The sequence below is a fragment of the Homo sapiens genome, chromosome 2, assembly GCF_000001405.40.
Source record: "Homo sapiens chromosome 2, GRCh38.p14 Primary Assembly".
In the NCBI taxonomy this organism is placed as follows: domain Eukaryota; kingdom Metazoa; phylum Chordata; class Mammalia; order Primates; family Hominidae; genus Homo; species Homo sapiens.
In genome coordinates, this window is record NC_000002.12 from 218057313 (window position 1) to 218073390 (window position 16078).

The following is a 16078-nucleotide window of genomic DNA, read 5'->3' on the forward strand; positions in this document are numbered from 1 at the left end:
TTAGAAATTCATCTCTAGATTTTATGTGACTTTGATACTTCCTAGACATTTATCTGAACCTTTATAAATCTACATATATTATAATTTTTTATACAAATGGGTAAGCCATTTATTACACATGCTGTTCTACCTTCCTCCTTCATTCCACATTATTTCTTGAAGAACTTTCTGTGTCCGCTCATATACCTACCTCATTAATTTTTTAAGGTTCTTCTTTAAAAACAGTTTTATTCAGGTGTAATTTACCAACTATAAGACCTGCCTGTTTTAAGGATACAATCCATTGTTTTTAGTAAACTAACAGAGCTGTAAAACCATCGCCACAGGTTACTTCTATCACCCCAAAAAGAACCGTTGTGACTATTTATAATCAATCTGTGTTCCCAACCCCAGGCCCAGGCAACCAGTCATCTGTTTTCAGTCTCTGCAGATTTGCCTTTTCAGGAAACATTTTAGGCAAATGGAATCATATAATATGTGGTTCTGTTCTGGCTTCTTCCACTTAGCAGAATGTTTTTAGCTTTGACTTTAAACTACTGCATTCACAGTATTCCATGGTGTGGCTGCAACTTCAGAGTGTAACTAATGAATTCCCTATTGATAAACATTTGGGTTGCTTCTAATCTCTGATTTTTGTAAATAAGGCTGCAATGAATGTTCTGTACACATTTGTCCAACTAAGCAGCTATTTCTGTAGGATAGGTTTGTAGTAGTATAATTCCTGAATCAGAGATTGTGTGCATTAAAAGAGAGATCATCAAATTGCTTTCTCTAAAGCTTGTACCTATTTATCTACTACCAGCAATGCATGAAAGTATCTTCTTCTAATCTGGTGAATTCTCACTCCAAAATTACAAGATGCAAAAGCCTGCACTCCACTCTGTGCACTGGGTCCTCAAAATGACCCGAGTTGTCCTTGTGTTCTTCTGATCACTTTCTCCTTAGCTTTTCCTTTATTTTAACGTTTTAAAACATTTTCATTGTGAATAGCATACATACTACAAGTTAAGAAAAACTTACGTTTATAGCCTAAGGAATAATAATACACTAAATCCCAAGCATCTATCATGTGGGTAAGGAAAGAAGGCATTATCAGTGCCTTCAAAAGCCCCAATGTGTTTCTCCCTTCCCCGACCCTTTAATAAACATCACCTGAACCTTTGTGGGAACCGTTCTTTTTCCTTAGAGTTTGCACATAAGTTTGTGTGGAGGGATTTGTACTGAGTCAGCATGATAAGATAGAATTGTGTTTCCCCAAATTCTCTTCCTTTCACATTTCCAGGTCAGTGGGGGGCCAGAAGGGACCTCATGTGTGAGATCTGGAAGCGGGAATTGGAGCAGCAGTTTCATTCTGCTTCAGCTCAGGAAGGTCAGTGCAAGGTGCCAGACACCACCATATGATGGGTGTGTGCTTGTGGGGGAGAGAGAGAGAGGGAGGGACACTCAAAGTGGGTGCTGCTGGCTGACCTGGAAGAGCTCTCTGCCTTTCTGCTACCTGATCAGGGGGATTTGGTGAACTTACTCAACCCTTTGCACCTTCTAAGTCCCACCCCTGACACTCCTGACTACTGCTTCACCCAAGGATATGAGATGCCCTAGAGCATCCCAGAACACATTTCTTTCCATGATGCGTGGTCTGCAGCAGGAAGCTTGGGTTGGGGATGAGGGGATGCAAGGCTGGGCTCCATCTCTATTCTATCCTTCTCTTTACGACACAACAAATAACAAAGAGATTTACTTCTTGTAAAGACTCTCACCCAAGACCTCTGCTCACTCTTGCCCCACTTCTCTGTAGCAGTTTGGAAGCTTTTGGTTGGAAGAAACAAAATAAACACACAAAAGTGGTTTAAGCAATGAAAGACATTTAATTATCTCATTTAGCAAGAAATTTCAGCCTTGGTTCTTTGGCAAAAGTACCTTTGGGGGCCAAGGTGTTTTCTTTTTAATTGAGGTAAAATATACATAAAATTTTACCATTTTAGACATTTAAGTGTACAGTTTAGTGGCATTAAGTACTCAGACATTATTGTACAACTATCACTACTGTTTATCTTTACAACTTTTTCAACATCCCAAACATAAACTCTGTGCCCATTAAACCATCACTCCCCATACTCCCCTCCCCTCAGTCCCTGGTAATCACTGTTCTGCTTTCTGTCTCTGTGAATTTGTTCACTCTCAGTACCTCATGTAAGTGGAATCATAAACTATTTATCTGTTTATGTCTGGCTTATTTCACTTAGCATGAAGTTTTCAAGGTTCGTCCGTGTTGTAACAAGTATGAGTACTTCATTCCTCTTTCAGGCTGAAGGATACTTCGTTATGTACATATCACATTTTGCTTAGCCATGCATTCATTGATGAACATTGTACACATCACATCTTGTTTAGCCATTCATTCATTCATTCATTGATGAACATTTGGGTTGTTTCTGCCTTTTGGGTCTTATGAATAAGCAGCTATGAATATTGGTGTACAAATATGTGTTCAAGTCCCTGCTTTCACTTCTTGTGGGTCAATTACTACAAGTGGAATTGCAGGATCATGTGGTAATTCTATGTCTGATGTTTTGAGGAAAGATGCCATACTGTCTTCCGCAGTGGCCACAACATTTTACATTCCCGCTCACGATGCCCGAGAATTCCACTTTCTCTGCACCTTTGTGGACACCTTCTATTTTATGATTTTCTTTCTTCTGACATTAACCATCCTAATGAGTATGCAGAGCTGTCTCACTGGAGTGTAGATTTTCACTTCTTAGAACATAGAGTGCCATGAGCTCAAGGGCAGGAGGGACAGAGCTCCAGCAAGTGATGTAGTAATTATGGCAAGGGGTGAGGTACCAGGGCAGGCTTTCTAAATCATGCAAGGGAAACTAGTAAGAACGTGGCCTCCTCTGCTTCCTGCGACCACAGTGGGGGCTGCACTGACACTGAGACCAAGAAGAGCTAGTGGACATGAGGCTTGGAATGTGACTGTGAAGAGAAGGGAGGAACCCCACGGGACTGCACTTAGGCAAGAGGTCTTAGAGAGTAGTGGAAGTGTGCCCTGAAGAAGAGCCAACAAAGGAAGGCCTGCTGTCTTTGGGCAGGGAGTCCTTGCTGATCAAGCCGTGTATGGCTATAATCTTGAGAAGTCCATGGCAAAACTTCTGGCCAATGAAGGCGTAGATGAGGGGATTGAGGTAGCTGTGAAGGATGCCCAGAATCTCAGTGGCATCCAGGGCCTGGTTGATGTCGTTGCGGCGCTCACAGGTCTCATTGGTCATCTGGGTTCCCATGAGGGTGTCTGCCAGCAGGACCAGGTTGTAGGGCAGCCAGCAGAGCAGGAAAATGAGGACAACAGCAAAGATGACCCACATGGTCCAGTGCTTCTGCCCCATATGGGCCTTAAACAGCGTATGCAGGGTGAATCTGTAGCAGAACAGCATGATCGCAGCGGCACGATGAAGCCAAAGGACTGGGGCAGGATCCGTAACAGCATCCACCAGTTTGCTGTATTGTTGCCCATGTCCTCATAGCAGACTGGGCTAACATTGGATGGGTAGAAGGTCCTTCGGAAAAGCAAGATGCGTAGGGACAGTAACAGGAACAGGTTCCACAAACCCAGACATATGAACTTGACCAAGTGGCGCTGCTGGGTCAGTGTGCGTGTGGCATGGACAATGGCCAGGTAACAGTCCATGCTGCGGCAGGCCAGTAGTAGAATACCACCGTAGAAGTTGACTTCCTTCAGGAGCTAGACCACCTGGCACAGATTGTGCCAAAAATCCAGCCATTCATCTTGGAGGCAGCCAAGATGGGCAATGTCAGGGAAAAGAACAGGTCGGCCAAGGCCAGGGTCAGCAGGTAGACATCGGTGACAGTGGCTGACTCAGCTGAATAAGATGACCAGCATCGGCAGGGAGTTTCACATCACGTTCAGTAGAAACATCAGGGCATAGATGATGATCAAAACATAATTGATTTCTAGGGATTCTGGCCAACATGGGGCAGAATCTAGTAGAAAAGGGGTAGGGTCATAGCTGAAACTGTAATTACTAAAATCTCCACTGAAGATGTCTTCCCACATGTAATTTTCCCAGCCAAAATTTTCCATTTTTGAGGTAAACTTAAATCCTGGCCTATAGAAGAGAGAAGAGGATTATTGCACAATAAACCTTACCCAGATTCTTGCCTATCCATCCAAGAAACTGGGATAGGATTCTTTGTGTTGGCTTGTATATTACATGGAAGTAATTTTCACCTCTAATTTGTATATGGCAGGTAGTCTAAAGTTTTGAGGCAATGTTAGTGATAAATGCCACAATTTATCAAAAGACTTCCATACTGATTCCCTTCCATGCTGGACACATATTCTTGCATTTCCCATGACATCACAGTCTCCCAAAACTTTGTAGAATGTTCCCTGTGGATAATAACTACAGGACACTCAATCCTACTTGGATCCCTCAGTGGTGAGCACCTTCAGCTGTCAAGGCTGGGTTTAATGTTCAGAAACATGAGATGCCACTCAGTTCTTAATCAGGGGACTAAGCAGCCACTCCAATGGGGTTGTACCCTCAAAACAGATCAAGGTTTGACTATAAAAGTGAGGGATGAATCTCTTTGTGCACCCTTCTGAAAGTTATTTTGAAAGAAATGTTCTGGAAAACAGTTTGAACAGTAGCATGGAGTTTTGGAAGGCTCGAGATAGAAGAATCTTCAGTTAATTAGTAAGGCCCAGCATTTCTCTTTTGGGTAGAAGGAGGCCTGCTCTGGGAATGTGTGTGTACTTTGGAAAAGTATATTAAAAATGATAAGTGGGCCAGGCTCAGTGGCTCACGCCTGTAATCCCAGCACTTCGGGAGGCCGAGGTGGGCGGATCACAAGGTCAGGAGATCAAAACCATCCTGGCTAACATGGTGAAACCCCGTCTCTACTAAAAATATTTTAAAAAAAAAATTAGCCGGGCATGGTGGCGGGCACCTGTAGTCCCAGCTACTCAGGAGGTTGAGACAGGAGAATGGCGTGAACCCAGGAGGCGGAGCTTGTAGTGAGCCGAGATTGCACCACTGCACTCCAGCTTGGGAGACAGAGCGAGACTCCGTCTCAAAAAAAAAAAAAAAAATGATAAGTGGCCGGGCATGGTGGCTCATGCCTGTAATCCCAGCACTCTGGGAGACAGAGGCAGGCGGATTGCCTGAGCAGGAGTTCGTGACCAGCCTGGGCAACACGGTGAAACCCCATCTCTACTAAACTACAAAAAATTAGCTGGGCCCAGTGGCATGCACCTGTAGTCCTAGCTACCTGGGAGGCTGAGGCAGGAGAATTGCTTGAACCCGGGAGGCAGGGGTTGCAGTGAGCCGAGATGGCACTGCTGTGCTCCAGCCTGGGCGACAGAGCAAGACTCTGTCTCAAAAAAATAAAATAACATAACATAAAATAAAAATAAATAAATAATAATAAGCAAGTGGGCTCCCTGATTCTCCCCATGGGTAGAAACGTAACAGGTTATTTGGGGAGCTCTGAGCAGCCATGTGCTGCCATGCAGGATGAGCAGACACAGCCAGCCTGCACCCCAATAAGAGGGAACGGCGGCAGGAAGCAGAGAAAACAGGGGCTGCACTACCCTTGCTTGGTGGCTCTCCAGCCTTGCTGGGGACCCTCCCTGTCCTGCATGTGTGTGCCTCCATCCAGCCCTGACTCCCCTGTTCTTCTCATTCAGTCCATCTCTGCTGGCTCTGCCCTTGCTACAGGGACAGGAGAGATCCCGCTCTGGGGAAGCCTGGGTGTAGAGGGTGGGCTGAAGCCATTCAAAAATGTTATCCCAGTTTCTCAAAGAAGAAGTCAACTAAAGCAATCCAGCTCCCTAATTAGCTTTTTTCCGAACCACAAAATAGATCACCCTCTGGCCATTGCCTTAGAGTCTAAGGGATGACCATCCTACCATCAACCAGGTCCAAGTCCATAACCTACCCCCAAAATGGAACCCAGTGACAGAGAAAAACCAGAAAGTTAAAGGTCCCAGAACCCACTTCACACTCACCAGGCTGGGCACAGTCAGAAAAAGATGCCCAAGAACAATGTGGGTGAGGAAGTGGAAAAGTCAGAACTCTCCCACATCGCAGGTGGGAATGTAAGATGGGGCAGCTGCTTTGAAAAACAGTTTAGCAGTTGCTCAAAAAAGTTAAACACAGAGTTACCACATGAACCAGCAACCCCCATCCTAGGGATATACCCAAGAGAATTGAAAGCTATGCCCACACAAAAACTAATGTTCATAGTGGCATGCTCCAGCCCTCAGGAATTAACCAGCAGGCAAGGGGCAGAGTGGGCCAAGAGGAATAGGAAGAACCTCAGAACCTCTGCAGGAAGCAGCTAGGAGCGAACATGGTAGGTGTTGAGTCATGGGTGTGAGCGAGGGGCACAGTGTGAGGGCAGAGCATCAGGCTCTCGGTTCCCCAAAACTAGCAGGGAGGCGGGGCCCCTGCAAGTGCTGTATTAGACAAAATAATCTCACCACCTTACACGTCAGCCCATAAGGCAAGGTTCCTAAGAAGCTCTTCCTTCACCTGAGCTGAGCTTCCACCTCTGAGTCTCCTCTTCTTTCAACCAAACAAAAGTCCTTTCTGACCCCTCTTGATACCTGCTCCTATCTGGGTAAAAACAGGAGCCCGAGGGTCCCCAAACTCTAAGGCTTCAGCCACAGCCCATCAGAGGCCAGAAGTTGGTCACAAAACAATAGTATTTTCCATGAACCCATAAGCACCCCACCCCAGCCCCGCTCCACCTGGCCACCAGATTCGCTGTACTTACACTTTCTGGACACTGCCATCTCCCTGGGAAATTCTGCACTGGAGTTTTGCGGAAAGTGAAGCGTGAAGAAGTATGGGATGAGGGATGGGGAAGCAGAGCCAGAAGGGCTCAAGGCCAGGCGCCTGGAAGCAGAGGGCCCCAGGGTGCCTCCTCCACCACCAAGAACCTTCAGCTCCTGGTTACAGTGCTGGCTCCCAGCTCTGGTGGTCAGCCAGACTGGCCAAGACCCTCCCCAGCCTGGACCAGCCCACTCCTCTCCAACTCCCTGCCCTCCATGGGCAGCAGAGTCCAAGCCAACCCCAAGTTGGGTCTCCAGTGCTGATCCCATTCGGGGCTCTCCCACCCACCTCTCCATCTCAATCCACATCCTCCCTCGCTCCATCCCACAACCCTGGGCCAGAGGTTTCAGGCAGGGGTTGCCCCAGCTGTAGCAAGTACTGAGGTCCGGGGAGAGCTGGAGTTGGGGATACAGGAGTGGCCACCAGCTGGCAGGGGAAGGTGCAACTTGAGGCCAAGTCTGAGCCACCATGATCTTTACCCACCCCAGGCAGCTTTAGGAGGGGAAGAGAGGGTGCTCCCCCTACACCTTCCCCACTGGTGCCATGCTGAAGGGGCAATTGGGGCTTCCAGAAGAGAAGTCCCTGTGCCCAAAGACCCTGGCACCCTAGTTTCCAGGTCCCCCTCCTATTCCCATCCCACAACCGCCTGCCTGCCTGCCCTCCCCCTCCAGTTCCTCCCCACCCAGCACCCATCCTATCCCCTAACCCCATCCCCTCCCCTGCAGGGAGCCCAGCCTTGAAGCACAGCAGGCTTCTCCGGGTCCCCCTTCATCACCCCGATCCCGTTTCCTTGTCTAGAACAGAGGCCAGCCTAAAACATCTGGGCAGGCAGTCCTAGCGCAAGTTCTGGATTGGGGGTTGGGGGACAGACACTGAGGTCAGCTCCATATGGATTCTCCAGCCTGGGAACGGGTGGAGAATCATCTCATCTTTGTGAGATGAGAGGGGCCATTTTCAACGTCCTCCCACTCCTTCCCACCCACACCCAAGCCATCTCCACATCGAGTCCTTTATCCAAAATTAGTCGTGGCCCCACTCAGCCCTCTCCCTGGCCCACTGCAGGCAGGGCATCAGAGTCAGAGTAGGAGAGGAGGGGTGGGGGGAGAGGGAGGGGCAGAGGGGAGGCAGCTTCAGTCTGCTCATTAACCACCTTGATTGGCCATTTCTGCCCAGAGGGGCGAGGAAGGAGGAAGGGCTTGTGCTGGGGAAGGTGCAGGGCGTGCTCCTGCCAGGCTTTGCCCAAGGGCAAGGGAGCAGGGCCCATGCTTTAGAGTGGAGATGGAGACAGTGCTTTGAACCCTAACCTTGCCGGGCCTGCCAGCCCCACTCACTCACTCACCTTTCCTGTAGAGGAGCCACTGAATGAGGTGGGTGTCTGGGACAAGGGATTCCCAGGACAGGAGTGGTGGCTGGTGGTGGGAGTAGCAGCTGTGGCTGGCAAGAAGCTGGTTTCCCAGAAGAAGGCAGCGAGTGAGCCTGTGTCCAAGCAGGGAGCGGGATGCAAGGAGCAGAGCTGGCCCCAGGGCCACTGCTGGGAGCAACTGAGCAGAGGGCTCTACTAGTGGGGTTCCCTCCCAGACCAGCCCAGGAGGCGGGTCAGCAGTGCACCGCCTCCTTCCAGGAGTCAGACAGCAGTGGGCCCCCTCTGCCAGCCATGGCCTCCTTTAACCCCTGCAATGCCCTGCTGGCTGCACTCTAGCCGGCTCTGGCCAGGCCGTGTCAGGGCACAGACACTTGGGGCAGGAGATCACCAGGGAGTGTGGCTGCCCCTCCTTCAGCCACTGGCCTAGCAGCCTCCCTGGGGACAGGAGGGGTGGGGCCAGAAGACTTGGGGGACAAGGGGGGTGGGGAAGGGAACAGGGAGGCATCAGGGCCTTGAGAGGGCCAGGACCCCATAGAAGAGACACAGGTGCAGAGAAATGTCCAAAGTGCTGCTAGGTGGGGAAGGATGGTTGCTGAGATGATGATGATGATGATAACAATATAGCAACTGTCATCTTTTCTTTTCTTTTTTTTTTTTTTTTTTTTTTTGAGAAGGAATTTTGCTCTTGTCGCCCAGGCTGGAGCGCAGTGGCACAATCTCAGCTCACTGCAACCTCCACCTCCCAGGTTCAAGGGATTCTCCTGCCTCAGCCTCCCCAGAAGCTGGGATTACAGGCGCCTGCAACCACACTCAGCTAATTTTTGTATTTTTAGTAGGGACGGGGTTTTGCCATGTTGGTCTCGAATTCCTGACCTCAGGTGATCCTCCTGCCTCAGCCTCCCAAAGTGCTGGGATTACAGGCGTGAGCCACCACGCCCAGCCAACTGTCAACGTTTCTACAGCACTCTGCTTTATGCTATTTCCAATTCATTTTGTGATTGCAGGCCAGGAATCTCACTTCTTTTTTATTTTAACTTTTTATTTTAAAATAATTATGTGTTAACAGAAGAGATTCAATGACGGTACAGACAGTACAGGTCTCATATACCCTCCACCAGCTTTTCCTAAAGATAACGTCTTACATTACGTGCCACATGTGTCCAAACTAACTAATTTGCATTGCTGCAATGCTATTCAGAGGACTGTGAGCCTTATGAAAATGTCACCATATTCTGAAATGTCTGTTTTCTGTTCCAGAACCCAATCCAGGATCTCACATTACATTGGATTGTCGCGTCTTCATAATGTCTTTCAAAATGTGACAGATTTTCCGTTTCCTTGTTCTTTCACAAACACCACACTGTCTTGATTACTGTTGCTTTAATGGTAATTTCTAGACTCTGAGAGCTGAGGATACCGATACACCTGTGTGTTTAGTCAGTGGGAATTTTGTACACTTTTCTGTATTTACGAAATATTTCAACACGCTAATACAGACAAATGTCTGAAGCTGCCTTGTCAGTCACCGTCTCTGTGAGATGAGAGAGGTCATTTTCAACTTCCTCCCGCTCTTTATCACCCATGTACAAGCCATCTCCGCATCCGGTCCTTTCTCCCAAGTTAGTCGTGGCCCCACTTAGCCCCCTCCCTGGCTCATAATGTCTCTAACCCCAGCCACTGGCACCACCCCGCAGATGGCTGCCCCACCTCCCGGGCCCCTTGCTCTGCCTTCTGCCCTCCCAATCCATATACACACAGCACACATGGGAGGGCTCCAGGAGAGCCAGGAGAGGAATAGGGGCATGGAAGTAGCAGGACTGGCAGTAGGAGTGCCCTGGCAGGCAGCCCAGATGTCCGGGTAGCCACTGAGCCTTGGCTCCTGAGGGGATCAGCACCCAGTAGATGTTTATCCACCCCAAGAACGAGGGTATCACACCTCCTCTAGTGAGGGCCCAGGTGATGGGTGCAGGCTGCTCTTCCCTAAGCCCCTGAAGAGGGGAGCCCCAAGCAGCAGCAACCCCCACTGGAGCCAGAGTCAGGGCACACCAGCTGGGATGGAGCTTGTTCCCCACAGTTAGAGGAGGGAGGGAGTCACAGGCAAGCTCCAGGCTCTCCCAAGAGGCCGCTTAGAAACCAGCTCATCTGATGCAGATAGACACTCATCCCCATCCCTGTCCCTGCCACTGTTGCACACCAGCACACACACCTTCCCCTCCTTCTCGCCTTGATCATCCACCTCCACTGCCCCTGGCACCTCGCTCCATCCCAGCCCCACTGACTGTCCCTGCTCCTGCCCACCCTAGCCTGGCCCAACAGGCACCCCCTCATCCGTGTCAAAGCTGGCTGTGTGGGAGGTGGGGAGGCAGGGACATGGGGTGAAGCAAGGAGACCCACCAACAGGGAGTCCTGAGGTCACAGGGACCTAGAGAGGAGTTACCCATCCCTGGTGATGCCAAACACCTCCTCTTACTCTCCCAGGGAGAAACCAGCGCCACACCTGTACCAGGCAGAGTGGTTCCCTGGCAGACACCTGCCTCCCAGCTCAGACCTGGAGGAGGGCAGGGGGCTGGAGGACAGCAGGGGACTGGAGGAGGGCAGGGGACTGGAGGAGGGCAGGGGACTGGAGGATGGCAGGGGGTTAGAGGAGGGCAGGGGACTGGAGGAGGGCAGGGGGCTGGAGGATGGCAGGGGGTTAGAGGAGGGCAGGGGACTGGAGGGAGGCAGGGGGCTGGAGAAGGGCAGGGTGCTGGAGGAGCGCAGGGGCAGGGATCCTGGACAGGGCCTCAGACAGACTGAATTGGGAGGGCAAGAAAGAGACCAAGGGTGCAAAGTGAGACACAGGGAACAGAGAAAGGGAAGGAATGAGGGAAAGACAGGGATGGGAGACAGGGACATGACACGGGAGACAGAGATGGGGGTTTCAGCCTCTGCATGGGGGATATAGGGACGGAGGAGAGGGCAGACGGGCTGGGGCATCCCTTGTGCTGGTTTTTAGATGCGGTTCCTGGGGTTTGTGAAAACAGCCGTCCTCCCAGGCCCCTGCTCCTCTGCCCCCATACTAGCCCCTGCAGCAGCCCAGCCTGGAGAAACGAGGACCCAGCATGGAAAGACCCCAGCCTCAAGGAGGCAGAGCACAGCCAGGAAGGGAAGCCCCAGCCCACCTGGGAAACCCACCTGGCCCATTGCTGGGCACAGGATCTCACTGGTGGTCTCACATCCATCCTTTTGGGAATGAGATCAGGACTAGGGATTCGGCACTGGTGACCAGCACTCAGGTGGACCGCTCAGCTGACTGAGGTGGAGAAGGAAGGAGGAGCGTGGTGGGACCCTCGCCCTGCCCTCCCCACTCTGGAGCGCTGCCTCTCAGCCCAACCAAGTGACAGAGACGAGACAACCACAGGAATAGCAGCTGCGGAGCTCCATGGCCTCCCTCTGCCCCCTGGTGGTGAGAAGGAGAAAAGCAAGAGCAGGTGCTGAAAACGAAAAGGAAACTAGCAGCAGTCCCAGCTACCACAATGGATCAGCCCCCATTTGGCCAACAGGTGACTCTACCCCAGGTGGGCCTGAGAGGACCCATCCCCCATCTCACCATTCTGCCCCAGCGCCCTGGATCCTGCCTCTACCACTTCTTCCCTGCAGCGTCTGCGGTTCCCCCACCGCTGTGAGCCAGGTTCCCCCTCCAGGCTGCTGGGCTGGGACTGAGTTACTTCTTCCCAGGCTGTAAATCCTGGGACTGCTGTGCAAGGCAGAGTCACTAGGGACGGACTCTGGCAGCAGAGCTGCGCTCTCGTGCCCCAGCCAGCCAGGCTCTCCTGGGTGAGTAGCAGGGAGACCCCTGGAACTTACGGGGATAGAAGGAGTGTGATGCCAGGAGCCAGGGGAGGAAAATGCCTGGCAGAGACGAGGGAGAGGAGGAGACACATGGAGCCGTTCATGGATTTCACACAGGATCTGGGCTGGAAGGGGCTGCCGAGACCATCAGTCCAATCTTTGGTCTACAGGTTGGGAAACTGAGGCTCAAGGAAGGTGAGTGATTTGCCGGAGATCACACAGTGAGTTCATAGCCAGGCCAGGATGGAGACCCAGGTCTCTGGACTCCTGACCCCGTCCTCCCTGAATCCCATGCTCCACCCACCTCCCTCATTTACCTCCGTTTCCCTCTCCCCTTCCCTCCACTGTGTCCCACTGCTGTACCACTGCCACCCCACCCCAAACTCCAACAGCCACAGCCCGGGAGGCAGGACACCTGGGTTTTCCGCTCCATGCCTGGTCTTGACTCTAGGATCTCAGAATAAGGCCACCAGCTGTCAGGGCCACAGTGTCCCTCTCTGGGCCCCAGGACCCATGGGGAGGAGAAGAGGATGAGATCCCCCTGGAGAGAAAGGCAGTATTACAACCAGGCGCCCTGCTCCCCACACACACGCAGCATGTGCTCAGCCCCAGCCCTGGGGCCGTGCTTTACTTCTGCACCCTCTCCTCAAAGAACACATATTTTCCATTCAGCTGGGGCACAGGAAAGGATGAGTAGGTGTCTCGAGGAGACTGAGTACCCAGGCAAGGCTAGGGGCACTCCATGGGGAAGGAGTGGACACCCCCAGCCTAGTGTCCACATATCATGAGCCCTCACGGGGTCACTCACACCAAGTCAGGACCCAGAACACAGGCCCTGTGGGCACAGACACCTGAGTTCAAGTCCTGGGTACCTCTGTGATGCTGGATAAAAGACTTACCCTCTCCAATCCCCTGTTTCTCCTGGTCTAAAATGGAGTTAATAACCTCCAGGATTATGTGAGGATTGAATGGGACAAGGACATCAAGTGTTAGCACAGTGTCGTCACCCAGGGACTGCTCAATCGGTGGAGGCCACACCATCATCTTCACACACTGGCCTACAAGATAGAGCTGGGATTCTCCCCCTACTAGGTAACTTGCTATGTCACCCAAGATTAGTCACTTTCCCTCTGTAGGCTCTGCGTCCTGCTTTGTGTAAGGAGAGAGCTGGGCAGTGAGGCCGAAAGTCCTTCCTGAGCTCACAGTCCAAGTTGCAAGGAATCACATCATTTCCAAGTACCCATGGCAGAAGAGGGAGCCATCCTCAAGGTCACCAAAGACCTAAGAGGTGAGTGTGTCCTGAGAGATGCTCTGGGACTGAGTCATGGGAGAAGTCAGGGTCTGGGAGCCCCTCCCTCAGCGACCTGACATCTGCCATCCTCCCAGCAGCTGCCGTCTCTGCCATCCTCCAGGGCTATGGGGATGGGCAGGGGCCAGTGACGGACACCAGTGCCGAGCTGCACAGACTCTGTGGCTGCCTGGAGCTGCTGCTGCAGGTGGGACCTTCTCCTCCCCTTCCCCATCCCTCTCCCCAGACCCAGATAACTGGTGGGACATTCCTGGAAAATCAGGGAGGAGCCACAGCCCCCTTCCTTACCATGCACTGTGTCATCTCCCTCTCCCTCCTGACACCTAACCTCACTCTTGGAGTTTGTCACTGCAGCCTAAGAAGTGAAGTGGGGCAAAGCGGGGCTGGAAGGGACCCAGGCCTGGTGGTGGGACCCAGACCTGGGGGCAACCCCCACTGCTTAAACTTTCAGAGGCATTGATGTCCTAGGACTGGCCCTTCCTGCTGCTACTCAGAGCCCCAACTATGACCAGCACCGCTTTTATTGAATACTTGCTATGTGTCAGACTTCAGCCTCTATATGCCTGGCTTTATGCAATCCTCACTCTCGCCCTCTGAGACGCTTGATGTCCACCCCCCAACACCCCGACACACATCTTCCTGCTTCTCTGACTTCATCTTTTGCCACCCTGCCACTCATCTACTGCACTTCAGCTCCCCTGGCCTCTTGGATCTTCCTGGAGCACACCAGTCATGCTCCTGCCTCGGGGCCTTTGCTCGGGCTCTCCCCTCTACTTAGAATGCTCTTCCACTGGAATGCACAGCATACTTTCTCAGCTCCTTCAAGCAGGAAGGCTTTTCTGGGCACCCTAGATTTTCAACACACGTGCCACACACACCACACACCACAGCTACCACAATGGATCAGCCCCCATTTGGCCAACAGGTGACTCTACCCCAGGTCGGCCCGAGGGGACCCATCCCCCATCTCAGCATTTTCCATTCTCTTTCCTGCTTTATTTTTTTCTCCGTAGCAGTCATCACTATCTAACATACTCGATGCTTTACTTATCTCATCTGTTTGTTGTCTTAACTCCTTTATCAGGGCCACAGTGTCCCTCTCCGGGCCCCGGGACCCATCGGGAGGAGAAGAGGATGAGATCCCCCTGGAGAGAAAGGCAGTATTACAACCAGGCACCCTGCTCCCCACACACAGGCAGCATCTGCTCAGCCCCATCCCTGGGGCTGTGCTTTACTTCTGCACCCTCTCCTCAAAGAACACACATTTTCCATTCAGCTGGGGCACAGGAAAGGATGAGTAGGTGTCTTGAGGAGAATGAGTACCCAGGCAAGGCTAGGGGCACTCCATGGGGAAGGAGTGGACACCACCAGCCTAGTGTGGATCAAGATGTAAGTATCAAGATGTAAGTTCCATGAAGTCAGTTTGTTCATAGTTGTATCCCCAGACACACAGAGGAGGGCCTGGAATATAGCAAGAGCTCAATAAGGGCCTCTGAATGAATGAATAAGAACACTGAGGCTCAGGGAGGTCAAGCCCCTTGCTCGTGGTCACACAGCCAGTAAGGACAGGGCTGGGTCTGGATGCCGGGTGTGTCTGCAGGAGCCCTCTCCTCCAGTACATGTCCCCTCAGCAAGCTAGAATGCAGGGCGTGTTCTGGGAGGAAGCATTTCTACACTTTCTTTGCCTCATTTTGGTTCTAGTTTGACCAGAAAGAGCAGAAGAGCTTCCTGGGGCCTCGGAAGGATTACTGGGACTTTCTCTGCACTGCCCTACGACGGCAGCGGGGAAACATGGAGCCAATCCACTTTGTCCGTTCCCAGGACAAGGTATCCAGGGCCAGGCAGCAAGAAGGCTGACGGGGTGGGGGTAGACATAGGCCTCCTCCTTTTCCCCCACCCTGCTCTACCGACCATAGACCCCTCACCTGCTCTGCATGTCTCCTAAGCCCTGCCCACAGCACCCCTCCAGACACCCTTTTCCTCCCATGGCCTCAGGTCCCCCTGCACCCTTCCCATTGCCAAGCACTTCCAGTCCCCTCTCTCTGTGTTACCTGGGCGCCCTTTGTCCTAATACTGCTCCCCATTCTGCCCCTGTGCACTCTGCAGTTGAAGACCCCTCTGGGGAAAGGCCGTGCCTTCATCCGCTTCTGCCTGGCCCGTGGGCAGCTGGCTGAGGCCCTGCAGCTTTGCCTCCTGAACTCAGAGCTCACCAGGTGGGGCTGTTGGGACATCCTCCTGCCGATGCCATCTGAGCCACTTTCCCTCCTTTGTAAAAGAGCCCTCCTTTAACCCCCACAGATGGCTTTCTATCAAGGACAGTTACAATGAGAGTCATGAAGGAAAAATCAAGGGAGAAAGGGCAGAGGGAGGTTAGAACCCAGGAGTCCTGGGAGCATCAGGGTTCTTGGGCCTCCTGCTCCTGAAGGGCCACAACTCTGCCTGGGGAACAGCCTCATGACGGTGTGTAGTGGAGGCTGCTTTGTTGAGGTTGAGCTGGGGTGGGGGTGGTTGGGGCAGGGGGAAACAGCACCAGGGTCAAAGGCCAAGGGTTCTGATCACTGTTAACACAGGGAATGGTATGGACCCCGGAGCCCTCTGCTCTGCCCAGAACGCCAAGAAGACATCCTGGACTCTCTCTATGCTCTCAATGGGGTGGCCTTCGAGTTGGACCTCCAGCAGCCAGACCTGGATGGAGCCTGGCCCATGTTCTCAGAGTGA

The 16078-nt window shown here is 52.0% G+C and overlaps 1 protein-coding gene and 1 pseudogene across 11 annotated transcripts in view, besides 2 other annotated features; one reads left to right on the forward strand and one right to left on the reverse strand.

Annotated features, from left to right (window-relative positions):
* RUFY4 (RUN and FYVE domain containing 4) overlaps positions 1 to 16078 on the forward strand; it is a 55719-nt gene that overhangs the window by 22379 nt on the left and 17262 nt on the right. For 3 of the 10 annotated variants that reach the window (XM_047444011.1, XM_047444010.1, XM_047444009.1), the window contains exons 1-7: positions 11941 to 12036; positions 12169 to 12246; positions 13188 to 13339; positions 13438 to 13547; positions 15062 to 15187; positions 15467 to 15573; positions 15931 to 16074. In XM_047444011.1, coding sequence (XP_047299967.1) covers positions 13294 to 13339; positions 13438 to 13547; positions 15062 to 15187; positions 15467 to 15573; positions 15931 to 16074 — 533 coding nt within the window. In that variant the 5' untranslated portion in view covers positions 11941 to 12036; positions 12169 to 12246; positions 13188 to 13293. Of the gene's footprint in view, positions 1 to 1282; positions 1370 to 11282; positions 12247 to 13187; positions 13340 to 13437; positions 13548 to 15061; positions 15188 to 15466; positions 15574 to 15930; positions 16075 to 16078 lie in introns of those variants that run through there. The other 7 variants (XM_047444012.1, XM_047444007.1, NM_198483.4 and 4 more) reach the window with 4 other exon arrangements.
* On the reverse strand, positions 1843 to 3978 carry CXCR2P1 (C-X-C motif chemokine receptor 2 pseudogene 1; annotated as a pseudogene). The gene has a single exon (NR_002712.1). The product of NR_002712.1 is annotated as a C-X-C motif chemokine receptor 2 pseudogene 1 (transcript).
* Positions 8406 to 8948: an enhancer, noted in NCBI's record as "H3K4me1 hESC enhancer chr2:218930441-218930983 (GRCh37/hg19 assembly coordinates)". NCBI's record gives its function as "activates a minimal SCP1, AML or CMV promoter by ChIP-STARR-seq in primed H9 embryonic stem cells {active_cell/tissue: H9 hESC(primed)}" and the evidence as "EXISTENCE:reporter gene assay evidence [ECO:0000049][PMID:30033119]".
* Positions 11690 to 12553: an enhancer, noted in NCBI's record as "H3K4me1 hESC enhancer chr2:218933725-218934588 (GRCh37/hg19 assembly coordinates)". NCBI's record gives its function as "activates a minimal SCP1, AML or CMV promoter by ChIP-STARR-seq in primed H9 embryonic stem cells {active_cell/tissue: H9 hESC(primed)}" and the evidence as "EXISTENCE:reporter gene assay evidence [ECO:0000049][PMID:30033119]".